Genomic DNA, 19,939 nt, shown 5'->3' on the forward strand with positions numbered 1-19,939 from the left:
TGCTTGTACCATGGATCTCAGATTTCCAGCCTCCAGACTGTGAGAAATAAATTTCTGCTATTGAAGCCACCCAGTCTGTAATATTTTGTTATGGCGGCCCTAGCTGACTTATACCATTAAGCAAACCTCAGAGAAAAGGGTTTTTTTTGTTTTTTTTTTTTTTCCTTGAGACAGAGTCTCACTCTGTCCCCAGGCTGGAGTGCAATGGTGCGATCTCAGCTCACTGCAACCTCCACCTCCCTGGTTGAAGCGATTCTCCTGCCTCAGCCTCCCTGAGTAGCTGGGACTATAGGCGTGCACCACCACATCCAGCTAATTTTTGTATTTTTAGTAGAGATGGGGTTTCACCATGTTGGTCAGGATGGTCTCGATCTCCTGACCTCGTGATCCACCCACCTCGGCCTCCCAAAGTGCTAGGATTACAGGCGTAAGCCACCGCGCCCCACCGAGAGAAGCTTTTATATAAGATGTTTGTCAACTGACTTGGTCAGAGAGCTGGGTTTATACCTTACAGAACAAAACATTATAATGCCACAAAACAAAGTCAGGTCCTGACTGATTTTATGCCAGTTTCCTAATCAATTTGTTTGCATTGCTTTGTGTCAAATGTACACCACTTAATAGTGAGATTAGGCCAGGAGCGGTGGCTCAAACTTGTAATCCCAGCACTGTGGGAGGCCAAGGCGGGCTGATCACCTGAGGTCAGCAGTTCGAGACCAGCCTGGCCAACATGGTGAAACCCCTCTACTAATACTACAAAAATTAGCTGGGCATGGTGGTGCACGCCTGTAATCCTAGCTACTCAGAAGGCTGAGGCAGGAGAATCACTTTAACCTGGGAGGTGGAGGTTGCAGTGAGGTGAGATCACAACATTGCACTCTAGTCTGGGCAACAAGAGCGAAAGCTCTGTCTCCAAAAAAAAAAAAAAAAAAAAAAAAAGGCTTGTGGGAAGGAGACATATAACAGAATATACCATTAATTTTGGGAGATTTCCAATATTTATCTAAATGAATATGACCATTGTTCACATAAGCTTAGGTTCATCCATAAAAATTCCTTAAAGTTCTAGTAATCATTTTGTTCTCCTTAAGCATTTTGAATTATTTCTATCATTAATTCCTTCAGCCTCCATTCACAGCTTTCTAACCCATCAGGGTTACTTTTTGCTAAATTTACTTCCATTTGGCAACACAGTCTTACTTTCACCTCAGAAATAACATTTGATAAACTATCAATCCATTCTCTAACCATCTCTTTCAAAAGGTGAAATGGTTATATTTACTAATCTCATATAAATAATATACATACATATCTATATTTTTTTATTTAATAGCAACCATTTATCACAGAAAAAGGGCATTTAGCACATGCAAACTACCTGGAGTTACAGATGACTTGTCCCTTTTAATTTTTAATAGACTTTATTTTTAGAGCCGTTTTAGGGTCACAGCAAAATTGAATGAAAGTACAGAGAATTTCCATGTATTTGCAGCCCCCTACACACGCAACCTCCCCTACCATCAACATCCAGAATCAGAGTGGTATACCTTTTACAATCGATGAACCTACACTGACACATGCTTATCACCCAAAATATATCAATTACATTAGGGTACACTCGTGGTGTTGTATACTCTACAGCTTTTGACAAAAATATGACATGTGACCACCATTATAGTATCAAACAAAATAAGTTCACTGCCTTAAAAATCCTGTGCTCCACCTATTCATCCCTCCCTACCATCTCCCAAACCTTGGCAATCAATGATCTTTTTACTGTCTCCATAGTTTTGCCTTTTCCAGAATGTCACATAGTGGGAATCATATAGTACCTAGCCTTTTCAGATTGGCTTCTTTCACTTAGTAATATGCATTTGAGGTTACTCCATATCTTTTTTTTGTTTGTTTTTGAGACAGAGTCTTGCTCTTTCACCCAGGCTGGAGTGTAGTGGCATGATCTCAGCTCACTGCAACCTCCGCCTGCCAGGTTCGAGCAATTCTCGTGCCTCAGCCTTCTGAGTAGCTGGGACTACAGGCACCCACCACCATGCCTGGCTAATTTTTGTATTTTAGTAGACACAGGGTTTCGCCATGTTGGCCAGGCTGGTCTCGAACTCCTGACCTCAGGAGATCCACCTGCCTCCGCCTCTCAAAGTGCTGGGATTACAGGCGTGAGCCACCACACACAACCTACTCCACGTCTTTTCCTGGACAAACAGTTTATTTCTTTTTAGCACTGACTAATATTCCATTGTCTAGATTACCATAGTTTATGCCTGTTATTTTCATAAGAGCTAAAGGTCTTAAAATTACAGGTCTCAAACTTTTACTATCTCTTTCACACACAAAATTTCATGTTTTTAATGCACAAAAAGTGGTATTTTAAGATATTTTCAACTTACTGTTACATATTAGAAACTTGTATGCTGGCCGGGCACAGTGGCTCACGCCTGTAATCCCAGTACTTTGGGAAGCCGAGGCAGGCGTATCACCTGAGGTCAGGAGTTCAAGACCAGCCTGGCCAACATGGCGAAACCCCATCTCTACAAAAAATACAAAAAAATTTAGCTGGGCGTGGTGGTGCATGCCTGTAATCTCAGCTACTTGGGAGGCTGAGGCAGGAGGATCGTTTGAACCTGGGAGGTGGAGGTTGCAGTGAGCCAAGACTGTGCCACCGCACTCCAGCCTGGGCCACAGGGCGAGACTACATCTCAAAAAAAAAAAAAAAAATTGTATGCTGACCACGTCTATCTTTTCGCTAAGTTTTTGATACAAAATAAATCATAAAGTATACTTAAATTAACCTCTGTCTCAGCTTTTCATATAAATGTATTTTGTCTGTAACCTGTTAAATAACAGGAAAAATACTGAATTTTGCAACATCTAAAATAAAAGCAGGCCAGGGCCAGTTGTAGTGGCTCACACCTGTAATCCCAGCACTTTGGGAGACCAAGGTGGGTGGATCACCTGAGGTCAGGAGTTGGAGACCAGCCTGGCCAACATGGTGAAATCTCTTCTCTACTAAAAACAAAAATTAGCCAGGTGTGGTGGCACATGCCTGTAATCCCAGCTACTTGGGAGGCTGAGGCAGGAGAACTGCTTGAACCTGGGAGGTGGAGGTTGCAGTGAGCCAAGATCGTGCCACTGCACTCCAGCCTGGGCAACAGAGCCAGACTCCATCTCAAAAATAAATAAATAAATAAGTAAGTAAGTAAGTAAGTAAAAAATAATAATAAAATGGAATTTTAAAAAAATAAAATAAAAGCAGACAAAAAATAAAAGGGTTAAAATATCTACATAAATTAGACGTTAAGTATTATCCTCTAGCATAAGTATCATATCCACTTCCATCTTCCTCTCCACTCCAGTAGAGGAGTAAATGAGAGCCTGTTCACCTCAGTCTACTTACTTAAGGCCCTTAACTAATTCATTTATCTTTCCCATTAAAATTAAACAGAAGGTTTATCATTCTGCTTAGTTATATTCAGATGTGTCACTGATAGCTAATTATACAAATAAAACAAGATGACTAATATACTACCTACTCCTAGTAGGCAACCACAGCATTGTAAAGATGGTTCAAACATTAAGTTATCTACTTACCCATTTATGAGGAACTAAACAAGTCAAGATGCCAAGAGGAAACCCAAGGAATATCTTCCCAAAGTGGTTGTTCATTATACTCAGCTCTTCAAAACTGTATTACTACAGACTTTCAGATAGCAAAGTTAGAGTTTTGGTTGTTTCTAGCTCTAGCAGGATATATAGGCAATTGAAATGGGGGTGGAGGGTATCCCATAAAACAATATTATCCGGTTATGAAAAGGAAGGAAGTACTGACACATGCTACAACATGAATGAACCTTTATGCTAGGTGAAAGAAGCCAGTCACAAAAGACCATATATTGTATGATCCTATTATTATGAAATGTCCAGAACAGGCAAATCTATAGAGACAAAAATTAGATTAGTGGTTTTCAGGGACAAGGGGAAGCAGAAAAGCAGAAGTAAGTGTAACAGGTATGAGGGGGTGGTTCTTCTTGGGGTGATAAAAATGTTCTGGAATTAGTGGTGGCGATTGTACAACCTTGAAAATTGTACTAAAAACCGCTGAATTGTACACTTCAAAATGGTGAATTTTGGCCGGGTGCGGTGGCTCAGGCCTGTAATCCCAGCACTTTGGGAGGCCAAGGCGGACAGATCATCTGAGATCAGGAGTTTGAGACCAGCCTGGCCAACATGATGAAACCCCGTCTCTACTAAAAATACAAAAAATTAGCTGGGCATGGTGGCAGGTGCCTGTAATCCTAGCTACTCAGGAGGCTGAGGCAGGAAAATTGCTTGAATCTGGGAGGCGAAGGTTGCAGTGAGTTGAGATCGCACCATTGCACTCCAGCCTGGGCAACTAGAACAAAATTCCATCTCAAAAAATATATATATAAATACATAAAATAAAATGGTGGATTTTATGATATGTGAATTAGATTTCAATTTTTAATTTTATTTTATTTTTAAATAGAGACAGGGTCTCGCTATTTTGCCCAGGCTGGTTATGAACTCCTGGGCTCAAGCAATCCTCCCGCCTCAGCCTCCCAAATTCCTGGAATTATAGGCACGAGCCACCAGGCCCAGCCTGGATTTCAATTTTAAACAGAGTCATTTGAAACCTATCCCTTAACACAAGTATGAGCAAATTATGTCTTAATTTAATAACCTGTTTTTTAAAGAAAAAGTCAAATGGTAAGGGATCAAAAAGAAAATCTCAACATTTATGTTATAAGAGAAGGACATTTCATTAAAATGTCCTTCTCTTCTCTTCCTCAGATAATTCACAGTAGAAAGAATAGGCAGATGGTTGCTAAGCCTTAGGCAGAATCATTCCTTTGCCTCAACACTTGGGCAAAATAACATACTAATGGCCCCCACTAAGGCTGTTAAGCTGAGGCAAAGACTGGCCAGATGTTAACCAAAACAGTTTCCTCTTTTGCTTGGGCAAATAGCTAGGCTATCCACCCCAGCCCCTGCAGGTAGCCTCTGACTGACTTATAGCCACTGAAGTAGTAGTAAAAGTGATGTGTGCTACTCCTAGGCCTGGTCCAGTAAAAACCCTCCACACACGATGCTCCATGCCCTTTACCCTTCCTCCAACTTAATGCAGGTAAGACAAACTTAGAAGCTATAAAGGGGGAAATGCCCATGTCTCCGCAAAAGCCACCCACTTATCTGAAACATCCACTTTTTAAACTTTACGTAAGCAAGAAATAACATTTGAGTCATTAATATATAATTTTTGTGGCTAGTTCGTTATAGCAACTACAGTTAGCTTAACATATATCAGCTTATAAACATGTACTAAAATCCTCTTAAAAGTTAGCATTCCAAATTATCAAAGGTATGTTACCCCATTACGCTTTTTTTTTTTCTTGAGACAGGGTCTTGTTCTGTTTCCCAGGCTGGAGTGCAATGGCACAATCACAGCTCACTACAGCCTTGACTTCCTGGGCTCAAGCAATCCTCCAGGCTCAAGTGATCCTCCCAAGCAGTTGGCACTACAGGCGTGTGCCACCAGGCCAAGATAATTTTTTGATTTTTTGTAGAGACAAGGTCTCACTATGTTGCCCAGGCTGGTCTCGATCTCCTGGTCTCAAGCACTCCTCCCGCCTCAGCTTTCCAAAATACTGAGATTACAGGTGTGAGCCATTGCCTCCAGTCCCCATTATGTTTTAAAAATAGTTTACTTCGGCTACTTGGGAGGCTGAGACAGGAGAATTGCTTGAACCCAGGAGACAGAGGCTGCAGTGAGCCAAGATCATGCCATTGCACTCCAGGCTGGGCGACAGAGTGAGACTCTGTCTCAAAAAAAAAAAAGAAAAAAAAAAAAAAGACCATGGCTCACGCCTGTAATCCCAGCACTTTGGGAGGCCAAGGTGGGCAGATCACGAGGTCAGGAGATCGAGACCATCCTGGTCAACATGGTGAAACCCCGAGATCAAGACCATCCTGGCCAACATGGTGAAACCCCGTCTCTACTAAAATACAAAAAATTAGCCAGGCATGGTGGCACACTCCTGTAGTCCCAGCTACTAGGGAGGCTGAGGCAGGGGAATCGCTTGAACCTGGGAGGTGGGGGCTGCAGTGAGCCGAGATTACACCACTGCGCTCTAGCCTGGCGACAGAGCAAGAGTCCATCTCAAAAAAAAAAAGGATAGTTTACGTCTGTTATTATAAATGATTTTCTGAATGTTTTTCTGGTGGTATATTCTCTCCTGCCTAACACCCACAGCAAGAACCTGAACAGAAACTGTTTTATGACTTTGTGTATTTCATGTTTTCTTTACATATACTGTGATCCTAAATTTTATTATTATCTTTGTAGGTACTTACAATATAAATCATGTAACATAAAGATCATATATAATTGATCATATAATACATAGAAAATATTAGAAAATATACACACATACACCAAGATCAAATAATACAAATTCAGAACCTTTCTTTTCTGAAAATACTTACAATAACTCAGTACAACAACATATCCAATGAACTCAGCTTACTCAAGGCCTAAGTCCCATAAGATGGTATAAACACTTTTGAGAAGTCATTTTAAAGTGTGGAAGAGCCATCTCTTTAAAGTCCTGAATGCCACTAAGGAATCAGTTAAAGGGAAAAGAAAAGGAAGTAGAAGGGAAGGGGAAAGCAGGAAAGAAAAGCCCACCTGGCAAGGACTATAGACATCCTCGAAAGCCTCAAGTACCATGAAGTTAACCTATACCTATATTGTTGCATTCCATTTGAAGTGTATTAAAAGGTCATTTCTTGTTTAATAGTTATCACATAAACCTAAACTTCAAAACGATCTCAGGGAAAATTCTAAAACCTTGTCATTTTACTCATCAAAACTAGCTCCAAGCCGAGATTAACTGGAAATAAACAAGATTCTGTTCATCCTATCCCAAAACAACTGATAAGTAACTGCCATTTTTAAAATTGCTAATTTTCTGGGGAGTAAAAAAAAAAAGGCAAATCATGTTATCTAAAAAGAAAAAAAAGGTGAGGGGGCAAGAAAAAAGAACAATCAAAAGACAAATCCAAAATTTCCCCTTTAGAATAATGATGGAGATACTTCAGCCTCATTTTGAGCGCTCTTTCTATCCGTCTTTCCAAAAAGCAAGAGGATAAGATTAAGGCAGGAAGAGCCACCTGCTCTGCCGGCTCAAAATCAGAGCTTACCTCCTGAGATTGATGGCCTTTGCCAAGTTTGGAACACCTTCCATCTCTGTTGTCTTCTGCCCCATCAGACTGCTGATAGGCCTACGGGGGGAAGAAAGAGAAACAGACCTGCTAGAATGCCATATCCAACTCATTATTTGCCTTCTCAAAAGGAATCATCAGTTTTTACTGTTCCTGGAAGGCAGATAGTCCAACTGTTGCTGGGCCTCAGAAGATTGACATGTGGTCTTTCAGAAACTTCTCCTTGAACAATTTAGCATCAGAAGTCCCAACAGGTAAGCAAGGCTGACTTAAGAGCAAAGAAATCTCAGACAACCACATCAAAACAGTAATAACAACCTCTCCTCACCAACTAAGTCCTTTACCATGTCTCTCAACTTCAAAAAATTTTCAGATATTATATGTTATTAATCAATGACACAATGTGAAATTATACATATTTTAAAGCTATCATGAATCAATGATCATATTCTCAAAACAGAGTAGGATAACTTCAAAGAATCCCAGCGGTAGAAACTTCTAGTGATCTGACAGTTCCCTGTCTTGAAGATGTTACTTAAGCCATCCACAACAAAGCTGATGATTCTCCTACCTAAAGTCTCTACGTAGGGACAGTCCACGCTTAACCTCTGCACATATTCCTGTGTATCACCCTCATGGCCAAGAAATACTTCCTCATGACCAACCAAAGCCAAAAAATTCATTTTCTCTCACTTAATCTTCCAAAATAACAGACAAACAGCTTGCTACACTCCTTATCCATCCCTTTATATGTTTGAAAGAATAATCAAATTATTCGTATTTTCCCTGTTCTCTAAGCAAATCACCAGAAATCCTTTAACTTTTACTCATAAACTTAATTTTCTGATACCTTTAGTTCTAGATATTAATTATAAATTACAACTTTAAGCTTCTCAATAGACAACACTAGACTCAAAAATGAAAGAGCCCAAATACAGATAATAAAACATAAAACAGCTAAAGACCACAAGTATTACCTAATGAAGCAGAAGTAATGTTAGTGTTTGCAAAAACTATCTTGTGCCTAATTTTCTACTTTCCCACTCATATGTAGGCTCTAAATAAGAAACAGCTGATATATATTGTTTATTAAATATATAGATATTCTTAGTATTGCAAAGAACTAGATTCTGATTAAACAGACTAAAAGTAGCTTTCTAAATAATTAACTTGTCATTCTTTTAAAACCAAAAGATATAATTCAAACTCCTAAAGCTGCCTCATTAAAAAAACTTTCAACAAAAACACATATCATCATTAAAATATATATATATAAATCTTCGTAATCTACTTTTATCATTCTTAAAATTATGTAGAAGGAATTGCCTATTGACATAGAACTAAAGTGGAAAAAGTGTCCTATTACAGTATTATTTAATTTTTTCAAAATACTAACATTCATTGCTAATCACAAAGCACAGTAAAGGATCTGATAAAGTTTTGTACAAGCCTGAATGTATTTTTTTAGGTGATTTGAAAAACAGCGACAGAAAATATTTAGGCTCTCTCAAATATTAACTTTGATATGAAATGATACTTGGCAACTTTAAAATGGTTTATGTGCTGTGAAAATTCTTAATTTATCAATCACCTTGTGTTGAAGGTCTGTTTTAAGCCTTATTTAATTCCTTTAAATAAATTTAATTAATTAAATAAAATTTAAACATTCCTTTAAAATAAAAATTATGTTATTGTTTATGTTAATATCTCCCCCAACTTTCTATCTAGTGGAGTGCTTATTCTTATGACCAAGAAATAAGAAGTGTTTTCCTTCTAATAATAATGTTTCAAAGTGAAGGCTTGCAGGTATTTTACTAGACTAAGATCCTGACACAAGATGTAAAAAGCAAAGGAATGTTACATGGGGGACAAAAAAGGTAGAAAGGTCAAAGTATAAGGATCTAACACATTTGACTTCAGTGCCAACAACATTTTTCCATTTAATTCAAAAAGACGAATTTTCATTTAAAGGAAGGAAGGGCGGAATTAAAGAAGAGTCTAAATATAACAGCTTAAAATCACAGCCACGGGTGCAGTGGCATGCACCTGAGGTGGGCTCCCTCACGGGAGGGCTGAGGTGGGAGGATCACTTAAACACAGGAATTAGACCCTCATCTCTTAAAAAAAAAAACAAAAAAAAAACCTGTACTCCCCAAAAAACATAGCCACCAAATTAAGAAGTACTCACTAAAAAAAAAATATCACTGTCATCTAAATCTTTTCATCTTCTCCACAAAAGGCAATGGCTCTATACTCAGGGAAGAATAAGTTGTAAATCCAAGGAGCCTGAGGGCAACAGAAGCTTCCTAAGAGAGAATCAAATAATAAATGATTCTATATCAGCTCTGTGTGCTAATATGCTGTAAATAATGCTTCAAATTCATAAGTTATGACAAGCAAAATGGAATTTACTACTAACCCTTACTTCTCCAATTCTATTGACATTAGAAATGGCCAAACTATTATATGCCAAAAAGCACTAAAATTCTTTGACCTACTTCCTTAAATATATTCTAAGAAAACTACCAATAGAAGGGAAAACTTGTAGATGTAAAAAAATATTTACTGCAATATGATTCAGTATACCAGAAAAAATGACCAACCAACCAACAGAAGTTTTTGGTTTTTTTATTTTAAATTTCTTACATTTATTTTACCCTGATTCACCTCTTCATTCCACAAAGGATTTGAGACAGTTTACAATAGAGCATAATATATTAATTATACATGTATAAAACGTGGATCAAGAAAAAAAACAATTTAAATATGCCAACCAGGTAAGGTTCAAACTAGTTGTTATGGTTGCATTTCAACGTTTGTTCTGTTTCTGGGCTGCCATGGTAAAAAACACAGTGGCCATTAAATAATTCTCATTAGAGGAAAAAATAAAGCATAGTCCTCAGGGAAAACAAAAATTGTTAATAGATGGCATAGCTTCTGGATGGTGGATTTATGTGGACATAAAAATAATAATGAAGATTATACAACAAGGAAAAATACTTATGATAATGTTAAGGAAAAGATACAAAATTAAATATACATCCTAACCACAATGATATAAAAATATAATATATATGGGAAAAAGACTAGTAGGCCATACGCATAATCTTCCCCTTCCTCCCCCCACTAAACTATGATTTCTTTAACCACAAGGACCATATCATACTCTTGTGTACCACAACCATACCTAGGCAGAATGCTAGGCATACTGGACCAGTTTAATATTTTCAACTGTATTAAAATATCTATACTTGCTTGACTCAAATTTTAGATATTTGGCTTACAAGATAGAAATACACAACATACAACAGAGACAATAAATATAAAAAGTACTTTCTGACAAAGACCTATTACTGCCACACTATGAATGGCAAAGTTGATTACACTCCTTACACACTTGAAAAGCACCAAGGCTTTCTCAATTCACAACTTCCTTATTCCACACAATATCGATTACAGACTCTTCCTTAAGGTTCATAAGATATTAACAGGACGTATTATTGCTGCTCCAGATAAGGAATAATATACAGCATTTTAAAAAATCCTTTATTCATGTTGGAAAAAGTAAAAAAAATTTCTTATATTCATTTAGATTTTGAAAAGTAATCAGAAATCTCCAAAATCAAACATGACCAAAAATTGTTAAAAAACATATTATAGACTCAACTTTTCAACATTGTTAAATCATGCAACATGATAGATTCCATACTATCAAAAGCTGTAAAGTGTGTCTTTTAATTCAGTTCCTATTTCTTTACTTTTTCTTGCTTCTCAAATAGCAAATAACTTTAACCAAAATTTCCCCTTTTAACAAAGGAAGTAGTCTTTAGAGCAGAACTTGAATTTTTATTGTGGCTATTTTTTAAAAGGGATGTGTGCTCCTAAAATATGTTCATGAGAATTGACAAACTCAGTCTTTTAAAATTAAAGACACTAATACACTGTATAAACATGAAAACTAGAAAAGGCATCCAGCACTCAAACAAATGGCACTCAACAAAAAAATTGCATCCACCTCTCCTCCCACTACAGGTACTGCGAACAGTCATCTCAGTGCCCCTAAATAAATGTTTATTTTAAATTAAATGTTGGGTTACATTTACTTTGTCACAAAATTCATATTTTCTTTTTTTGTTTTAGACTGAGTCTTGCTTTATTGCCCAGGCTGGAGTACAGTGGCGTGATCTTGGCTCAATGCAACCTCCGCCTCCCAGGTTAAAGCAATTCTCCTGCCTCAGCCTTCCAAGTAGGTGGGATTACAGGCATGCGCCACCACACCTGGCTAATTTTTGTATTTTTAGTAGAGACGGAGTTTCACCCTTTTGGCCAGGCTGGTCTTGAACTCCTGACCTGAGGTGATACGCCTGCCTCGGCCTCCCAAAGTGCTGGGATTACAGGCGTGAGCCACCGCGCCTGGTCTCATATTTTATTTAAAAAACAAAAAATCAGGCTAGGTATGGTGGTTCATGCCTGTAATCCCAGCACTTTGGGAGGCCAAGGTGAGCGTATCACCTGAGGTCAGGAGTTCAAGACCAGCCTGGCCAAAAGGGTGAAACTCCATCTCTACTAAAAATACAAAAATTAGCCAGGTGTGGTGGCACGCACCTGAAGTCCCAGCTACTCAAGAGGCTGAGGCAGAAAGAATCTCTTGAACCTGGGAGGCGGAAGTTGCAGTGAGCCGAGATCGCGCCACTGCACTCCAACCTGGGCAACAGAGCGAGACTCTGTCTCAAAAAATAAAATAAAATCAGTCACATTAAGATTAGATAGCCCAGATCATCTGTTTTCTATTATACAAAACAAGAATTAATGAACTCCTGACATAACATTTATTTCAATTTGTTTTCATCTTTTAAAAAGCACTCATTCCCAATCTTGGTTTTCCAATAGTATAGGGAACTAATGATACTTAAAGATTACTTCCTACATCACCTTTTTAAAAAATAAGAAGTTTTTAGGCTGTGTACAGTGGCTAATGCCTGTAATTCTAACATGAGAGAGATCAAAGCAAGCAGATTGTTGAGCCTAGGAGTTTGAGACCAGCCTAGGCAACATGGCAAAACCCTGGCTCTACAAAAAATACAAAACTTCAGCCGGGCGCGGTGGCTCATGCCTGTAATCCCAGCGCTTTGGGAGGCAGAGGTGGGCGGATCACCAGAGGTCGGGAGTTTGAGGCCAGCCTGGCTAACACGGTGAAACCCCATCTCTACTGAAAAAATGCAAAAATTTTCCGGGCGTGGTGGTGGGCGCCTGTAGTCCCAGCTACTCGGGAGGCTGAGGCAGGAGAATGGCGTGAACCCAGGAGGCGGAGCTTGCAGTGAGCCGAGATCACGCCACTGCACTCCAGCCTGGGCAACAGAGCAAGACTCCGTCTCAAAAAAAAAACAATTAGCCACGTGTGGTGGCATGTGCTTGTAGTCCCAGCTACTCGGAGCAGAGGTGAGAGTACTGCTTGAGCCTGGGAGGTTGAGGCTACAGTGAGCCATGATCACACCACTGCATTCCAGCCTGGGCAATAGAGCTGGAATGTCTCAAAAAAATTAAGAAATAAGTAATTTTTAAAATTAAAAATAAGAAGCTTTGATTCATATTGCAGATTTAAAAAAAAACAAAAAACAAAAACCTAAGGTGGTAAAGTGAAAAAACAGTCAAATAATTTCCCCCCAGAAAAAGTGGGGGAATGTTTAAGTGTGGTAAAATAAAAACTCTGAAGAAAATTTAAGATACACTTAGAATTCATATTACACCAGTTAAGGCTTAGAAAAAAACAAAAGGAAGAGAAAGGAAAACAATTCACTAGAAAAGAGAAAAAGACTCCAATTTCAGGAGAAGGGAGTAAGTTCCAAAGCATTAATAAAAGATGACTCAGGCCGGGCACGGTGGCTCACGCCTGTAATCCCAACACTTTGGGAGGCCGAGGTGGGCGGACCACAAGGTCAGGAGTTCGAGACCAGCCTGGCCAATATGGTGAAACCCCATCTCTACTAAAAATACAAAAATTAGGCCGGGCGTGGTGGCTCACGCCTGTAATCCCAGCACTTTGGGAGGCCGAGGCAGGTGGATAACAAGGTCAGGAGATCGAGACCATCATGGCTAACACGGTGAAACCCCGTCTCTACTAAAAATACAAAAAATAAGCCGGGCGTGGTGGCGGGCGCCTGTAGTCCCAGCTACTCGGGAGGCTGAGGCAGGAGAATGGCGTGAACCCGGGAGGCAGAGCTTGCAGTGAGCCGAGATCACACCACTGCAGTCCAGACTGGGCGACAGAGCGAGACTCCGTCTCAAAAAAATAAAAACAAAACAAAACAAAAAAAACACAAAAATTAGCCAAGCATGGTGGTGCACGCCTGTAATCCCAGCTACTCGGGAGGCTGAGGCAGGAGAATTGCTTGAACCCAGGAGGCAGAGTGAACCGAGATGGTGCTACTGCACTCCAGTCTGGGTGACAGAGCAAGGGTCCAGCTCAAAAAATAACTCAGTTCATAGAAAAAAGATTTCGTGTTATCAACTTCGTGCATCTGAACGGTCAATTTTGATTAACCACAGTTTGTAAGTTCCTTAATTGTTCTTTATACAGCAAGCTTTATTTCAGAAAGGAACAGCAGACTCCCAGGGGAGAAATTCTTTGGAGGATAATATATTCATAACAAAAATAAAGTTTTTAGATCAAATTAAGCTCAAGACCATATCTAATACTTGATGAAGAATTTCTTCCTCCTTTCCCTAGAGTATTGTCAATTATTTTTAAATGATCTCATTTTTATAAAGTCTTTGAATTAAAATGGAAAACATAATTAATGCTTTTGGAGAGAGGAATGAGAAGATGGATACCACAGAATATGACAATTCCAAAAAAGGTATGACTCTCTGGACTGGATAACAAATCTGGGACAATGAAAAAAAAATTGACATACTCAAACAGTCCCCTAAATTGATCACTTCCCTTAATTAAGAAACCACTAGGCCAGGCACAGTGGTTCATGCCTGTAATCCCAGCACTTTGGGAGGCTGAGGCAGGTGGATCAACTGAGGTCAGGAGTTCAAGACCAGCCTGGCCAACATAGTGAAACCCCATCTCTACAAATATACAAAAATTAGCCAGGCATAATGACGGGTGCCTGTAATCCCAGCTACTCGGGAGGCTGAGGCAGGAAAATCGCTTGAACCTGGGAGGCGGAGGTTGCAGTGAACCAATATCATGCCATTGCATTCCAGCCTGGGCAACAGAGCCAGACTCCATCTCAAAAAAAAAAAAAAAAAAAAAAAAAAGAAGAAGAAGAAGAAAAGAAACCACTATATTTTGTTTACATTTATTAGAAAGGAATAGGAAACAGATTTTTTAAATTTAGTAATAAAAGGGCTAATGTATGTGAAATAATTAGTAATTCATTCCACTTAGATACTTTTGGGAAAAAAAGAAGCAGTATCTTCTGCTTCTTTTTTGAGTGTGAGACATTTTAAAGGTACTTTGATATCAAAAATGCAATTTCAAGTATAAGGTAATTCTTCCTCTAATCACAGAAGCCAATTACTTAATGCACAAAAGGATGTTAGACAAGGAATTCTTTTCCAAGTCAAAAAAGGAATTCTGGTCGAGCGCAGTGGCTTACACCTGTAATCCCAGCATTTGGGGGGCCAAGGTGCAAGGATCACTTGAGACCAGGAGTTCGAGACCAGCTTGAACAACATAACAAGACCCCATCTCTACAAAAAGTTTTAAAATTAGCCAGGTATGGTGGCTCATGCCTGTAGTTCCAGCTATTTGGGAGGCTAAGGTGGGAGGATCACTTGAGCCTGGGAGTTCAAGGATACAGTGAGCTATGATCGTGTCACTGTACTCCAGCCTGGGACACAGAGCCAGACTCGGTCTCTGAGAAAAAAAGAAAAAGATCCAGCACTTCAGGAGGCCGAGGCATGTGGATCACGAGGTCAGGAGATTGAGACCATCCTGGCTAACACAGTGAAGCCCTGTCTCTACTAAAAATACAAAAAATTAGCTGGGGGTGATGGCAGGCACCTGTAATCCCAGCTACTAGGAAGGCTGAGGCAGGAGAATCACTTGAATCCAGGAGGCAGAGGTTGCAGTGAGCCAAGATCGCGCCACTGCACTCCAGCCTGGGTGACAAAGCAAGACTCCATCTCAAAAAAAAGGAAAAGAAAAAAGAAAAAGAAAAAAAATTTTTTTCAGGCTGGGCAAGGTGGCTCATGCCTGTAATGCCAGCACTTTGGGAGGCCGAGGCGGGCGGACTGCTTTGAGCTCAGGAGTTCAAGACCAGCCTGGGCAACATGGCGAAACCCTGTCTCTACAAAAAATACAAAAATTAGCCAGGCATGGTGGCTTGTGACTGTAGTCTCAGTTACTCAGGAGGCTGAGGCTAGAGGATCGATTGAGCCCAGGAAGCACAAGTCGCAGTGAACAGCGATCCTGCCACTGCACACGTTAGACAGAGTGAGATCCGGTTTCAATAAATAATAATTTCTTATTGAAAACTTGGTACCCAGGCTGGGCGCAGTGGCTCACACCTGTAATCCCAGTACTTTGGGAGGCCGAGGCAGGCGGATCACCTGAGGTTGGGAGTTCGAGACAAGCCTGGCCAACATGGTGAAACTCCATCTCTACTAAAAATACAAAAATTAGCTAGGCATGGTGGTGCATGCCTGTAGTCCCAGCTACTTGGGAGGCTGAGGCAGGAGAATCACTTGACCCCAGGGGGCGGAGGTTGCAGTGAGCCGAGCTCACACCACTGCACTCCAGCCTGGGCGATAGAACAAGACTCCGTCTTAAAAAAAAAAAAGACAGAAAGAAAACTTTGTGTACCCTGCAGATATCAACAAGAAAACTTAATACGTAAAACAATGAAAGGTAGGCTGAGTCTGTCAACTGTGTCTTTAGTGTTTGGTTCTAAAAGATTATATAATCCCTTCATGCTAGGCATAGTGGCTCATGTCTGAAATCCCAGCACTTTGAAGCCCAGAAGTGCGAGACCAGCCTGGGCAACATAATGAGATCTTGTCTCTATCTATCTATCTTATCTAGCTATCTAGCTATCTAGCTAGCTAGCTAGCTATCTAGCTATCTATCTAGCTATCTAGCTATCTAGCTAGCTATCTAGCTAGCTATCTAGCTATCTAGCTAGCTATCTATCTAGCTAGCTATCTAGCTATCTAGCTAGCTATCTATCTATTTCTTTGAGACAGTTTCACTCTTGTTGCCCAGGCCAAGTGTAGTGGTGTGATCTCGGCTCACTGCAACCTCCACCTCCCGGGGTCAAGCGATTCTCCTGTCTCAGCCTCCCGAGGAGCTGAGATTACAGGCAAGTGCCACCATGTCCGGCTAATTTTGTATTTTCAGTAGAGACGGGGTTCTCCATGTTGGTCAGGCTGGTCTCAAACTCCTGACCTCAGGTGATTCGCCCGCCTCGACCTCCCAAAGTGCTGGGATTACAGGTGTGACCCACCGTGCCTGGCCTTGTCTCTATTTAAAAAAAAGTACAATCAAATTAGGATTTAAACATTACCTCCAATAGTTAAATTTTCTTTCTTGAACAGAAAAGGTTCAACTCTTGAAATGTACCAAAAGCTTGCAATTGCCACAAGACCATTTCTCCAGATGAATAGTATTCATAGTAATGTGACTACAGTACTATATCTATTAGTGGATGCCCTGTGGAGTCCATCATGCAGTCCTCCGAGATTTCAAATTTTTTTATTCTTTTGAGACAGGGTCTCACTCTCTTACCCAGCCTGGAGTGTAGTGGTGCAATCTCAGCTCACTGCAACCTCCACCTCCCAAGCTCAAGTGATCCTCCCACCTCAGCCTCCCAAATAGCTAGGACTACGGGTGCGCACCATCATACCCAGCTAATTTTTGTATTTTTGGTAGAGACGGGGTTTCACCATGTTGCCCAGGCTGGTCTCGAAACCCTGAGTTCAAGCAATCTGCACGCCTCGGCAGCCTCCCAAAGTGCTGGGATTACAAGTGTGAATCACCGCGTCTGGCCTCGTTTTCTTAATTTTTTTATCATAAAGACAGGATCTCGCTATCTTGCTCAGGCTGGTCTCAAACTCCAAGGCTCAAGCAATCCTCCCACCTTCACCTCCCAAAGTGTTGGGATTACAGCCATGAGCCATCATACCCAGCAAACCTCAAATTTCTATGGTAGAAATCATAGAAGTCACTCAATGTATTCAATGGTAACAAAGGTATCCAACAACTCTGGGTATCCACAAGGCTAAAAACACAAAGCATGACACACGGCTCATTTTCTCTCGCTCAAGTTGGCTTCTGTTACCAAACATCCATTGGCCCTCTTCTAGGACATCTGCTTAATAGCCACTTGAGTTCTCCTTGAATTCTAGAATGCTTGAACTCCAGATTTCCAGTGGTTTTAATTTAGCTCTATTCCGTCTTTCCAGAGTACTAGAGAGAACAGTCAGTTCTCACACACGCCCCAAGAGTGCTGGCGAAGGCATTCCATCATGAATGGCTGTACCTTTATAGCTGGTGTCACTATGTAGCCTTCATGAGTAATGTGGATAGAGTAGCTGCCTGGCCATCCTTTGCTCCCTAGGATTCTGAAAGTTTACAATGCTGGGAGAAAAGCAGAGAATTGTCTGCCTACCTATATCAGACATGAAAATAGGCCATAAAGTTTCTCACCTTTTTTTTTTTCTAATTTTGACTTAATTAGGTCTGTTTTTATTAGCCAAAGGGGAAAATCATCCTTGAGGTTTGAAACAATAATTTTAAAAACCAAGAAAATATGAAATTATATTAAAAATAAAATGATTCTGAAAAATGAAGTTCTATTCCCCCCAAATGGCCCCATTTTTCCATTAAAAAAAGGAGCAAAAAAGAGGATTCAGTACTTTTTTTTCTCCAGTATCTAATTACATGCTTAGGTAATTTTTAAATACATACTTCAAAGCTGTAAGTTTACCTTACATTTTTACATTTCAAAGCAAAACAGAAAAAATGGAGCTTTGTGTACTTGATCAAAAATAGAGGAAATGATCCACACATACACACACACTTGCATAATGGTTAAAGCATAATGTTAACTACAAACAAAGGCTGAGATCTAAATTGAAGTGAGTCTGATCGATATATCTGGTTTAGTCAGTTCTGCACACATGGGTACCATGTGAAAATGTGAATAAAAAAGAACTAACCCTAGGTCCTAGGTCTCACTCTTGAGTCTGGGATGACAATTCCAAGTTTGTATTTAGAACCTTAGTCGAATTTCAGGATGAGTCATTGCACCATTAGAGCCAATTCCTTTTTTTTTTTTTCTGGGGGGTGGGGGGACACAGTTTCATTCTGTTGCTCAAGCTGGAGTGCAGTGGCACCATCTTGGCTCACTGCAGCCTCTGCCTCCCGGATTCAAATGGTTCTCGTGCCTCAGCCTCCTAAGTAGCTGGGATTACAGTCATGCACAACCATGCTCAGCTAATTTTTGTATTTTTAGTAGAGACGAGGTTTCACCATGTTGACCAGGCTGGTCTTGAACTCCTGAACCCAAGTGATCCTCCTACCTCGGCCTCCCAAAGTGCTGGGATTACAGGCGTGAGCCACCACGTCTGGCCAAGCCCAATCTTTAGTGTACTTATGAGAAGAAATGTTTTACTTACTCTGGTCAGCATAGTTTTTCGCTTTCAGCTCAAGTTGTCTTGTTTGAGATTCTAAAGATTCCACTCGGGTCTGTAAGTCCTTTTTTTCCTGTTCTTGAGAGTCTTCAAATTCAATGAATTTCTAATAAAGAAGAACAATATAAATTTAATCAGAGAAATTAAACTTTACATTTTCAACTCCTGTTATTTCTTGGAATCAATAATCACAATTAGGTATTAACTACTTAGATCTCAGAATTATGACCTTGGGTTGATTTTTAGTTTTTCTATAAAAATTAAGTTTAAAAAACTCCCAAATATAGAAGAAAAAAATAACAAAATAATTGTTTCCACTTCATGTTATAGGCATTCCATATGATATACATATCTTACTACAAATATATAAACCCTTTTGTATACTTGCATATGCATCTTGACTTCCAGACAACTTAAAAATCTATAACATGTACAATAGAGAACAAAAGAATGATGGAATAATCAATAAATATTTGTTAAATGGTTGTGTGATTAATAGTCATAGATTCACCTGAACCATGGAGTTTAAATTCCTAAGAAAAGGACATGTCCTAGGAATAACTCCACCACTCAAATCTAACTTACCAAACCTGTTCTCATCAAGGATAGTAACACTAAGTGCAATCATTAAATCTCAGTCTTCATCTTGATTGTTGTATCAGCAACATCTGACAAGTGATCCGCTCTCCTTAAAACTTTTTTTTTTTTTTTTTAATTTGGCTACCAGGATGTTTTCTTGTTTGCTGCTCGTTCTTGGTCTTCTTTGGTAGTACCTCCTTTTCTCCCCAACTTCTTAACATTGGCATGCTCCGTCCTTGGACACATCTTCTCTTCCTTGTTTACACTTATTCCCTAGTGATCGCGTCCAGTTTCATGGCGTTAAGTACGAACTATATGCTGACAACTTCTGAATTTCTATCTCTAGCCCAGACCTGAATTCCAGATTTGTATGTCCAACTGCCTACTAGAAAACTTCAATTGGATGTTTAAAAAGCATCTTAAGGCTGGGTGTGGTGGCTCACGCCTGTAATCCTAGCAC

The 19,939-nt window shown here is 39.8% G+C and overlaps 1 protein-coding gene across 6 annotated transcripts in view; it reads right to left on the bottom strand.

The window, feature by feature from the left end:
- Positions 1 to 19,939, bottom strand: part of SPAG9 (sperm associated antigen 9) — a 158,695-nt gene that overhangs the window by 98,525 nt on the left and 40,231 nt on the right. For 5 of the 6 annotated variants that reach the window (NM_003971.6, XM_005257771.4, NM_001130527.3 and 2 more), the window contains exon 2: positions 18,886 to 19,006. In NM_003971.6, the coding sequence (NP_003962.3) occupies positions 18,886 to 19,006 (121 nt within the window). Of the gene's footprint in view, positions 1 to 7,233; positions 7,255 to 18,885; positions 19,007 to 19,939 lie in introns of those variants that run through there. The other variant, XM_017025285.3, reaches the window with a different exon arrangement.

This window comes from Homo sapiens, chromosome 17, assembly GCF_000001405.40.
Source record: "Homo sapiens chromosome 17, GRCh38.p14 Primary Assembly".
NCBI classification, from domain to species: Eukaryota; Metazoa; Chordata; class Mammalia; order Primates; family Hominidae; genus Homo; species Homo sapiens.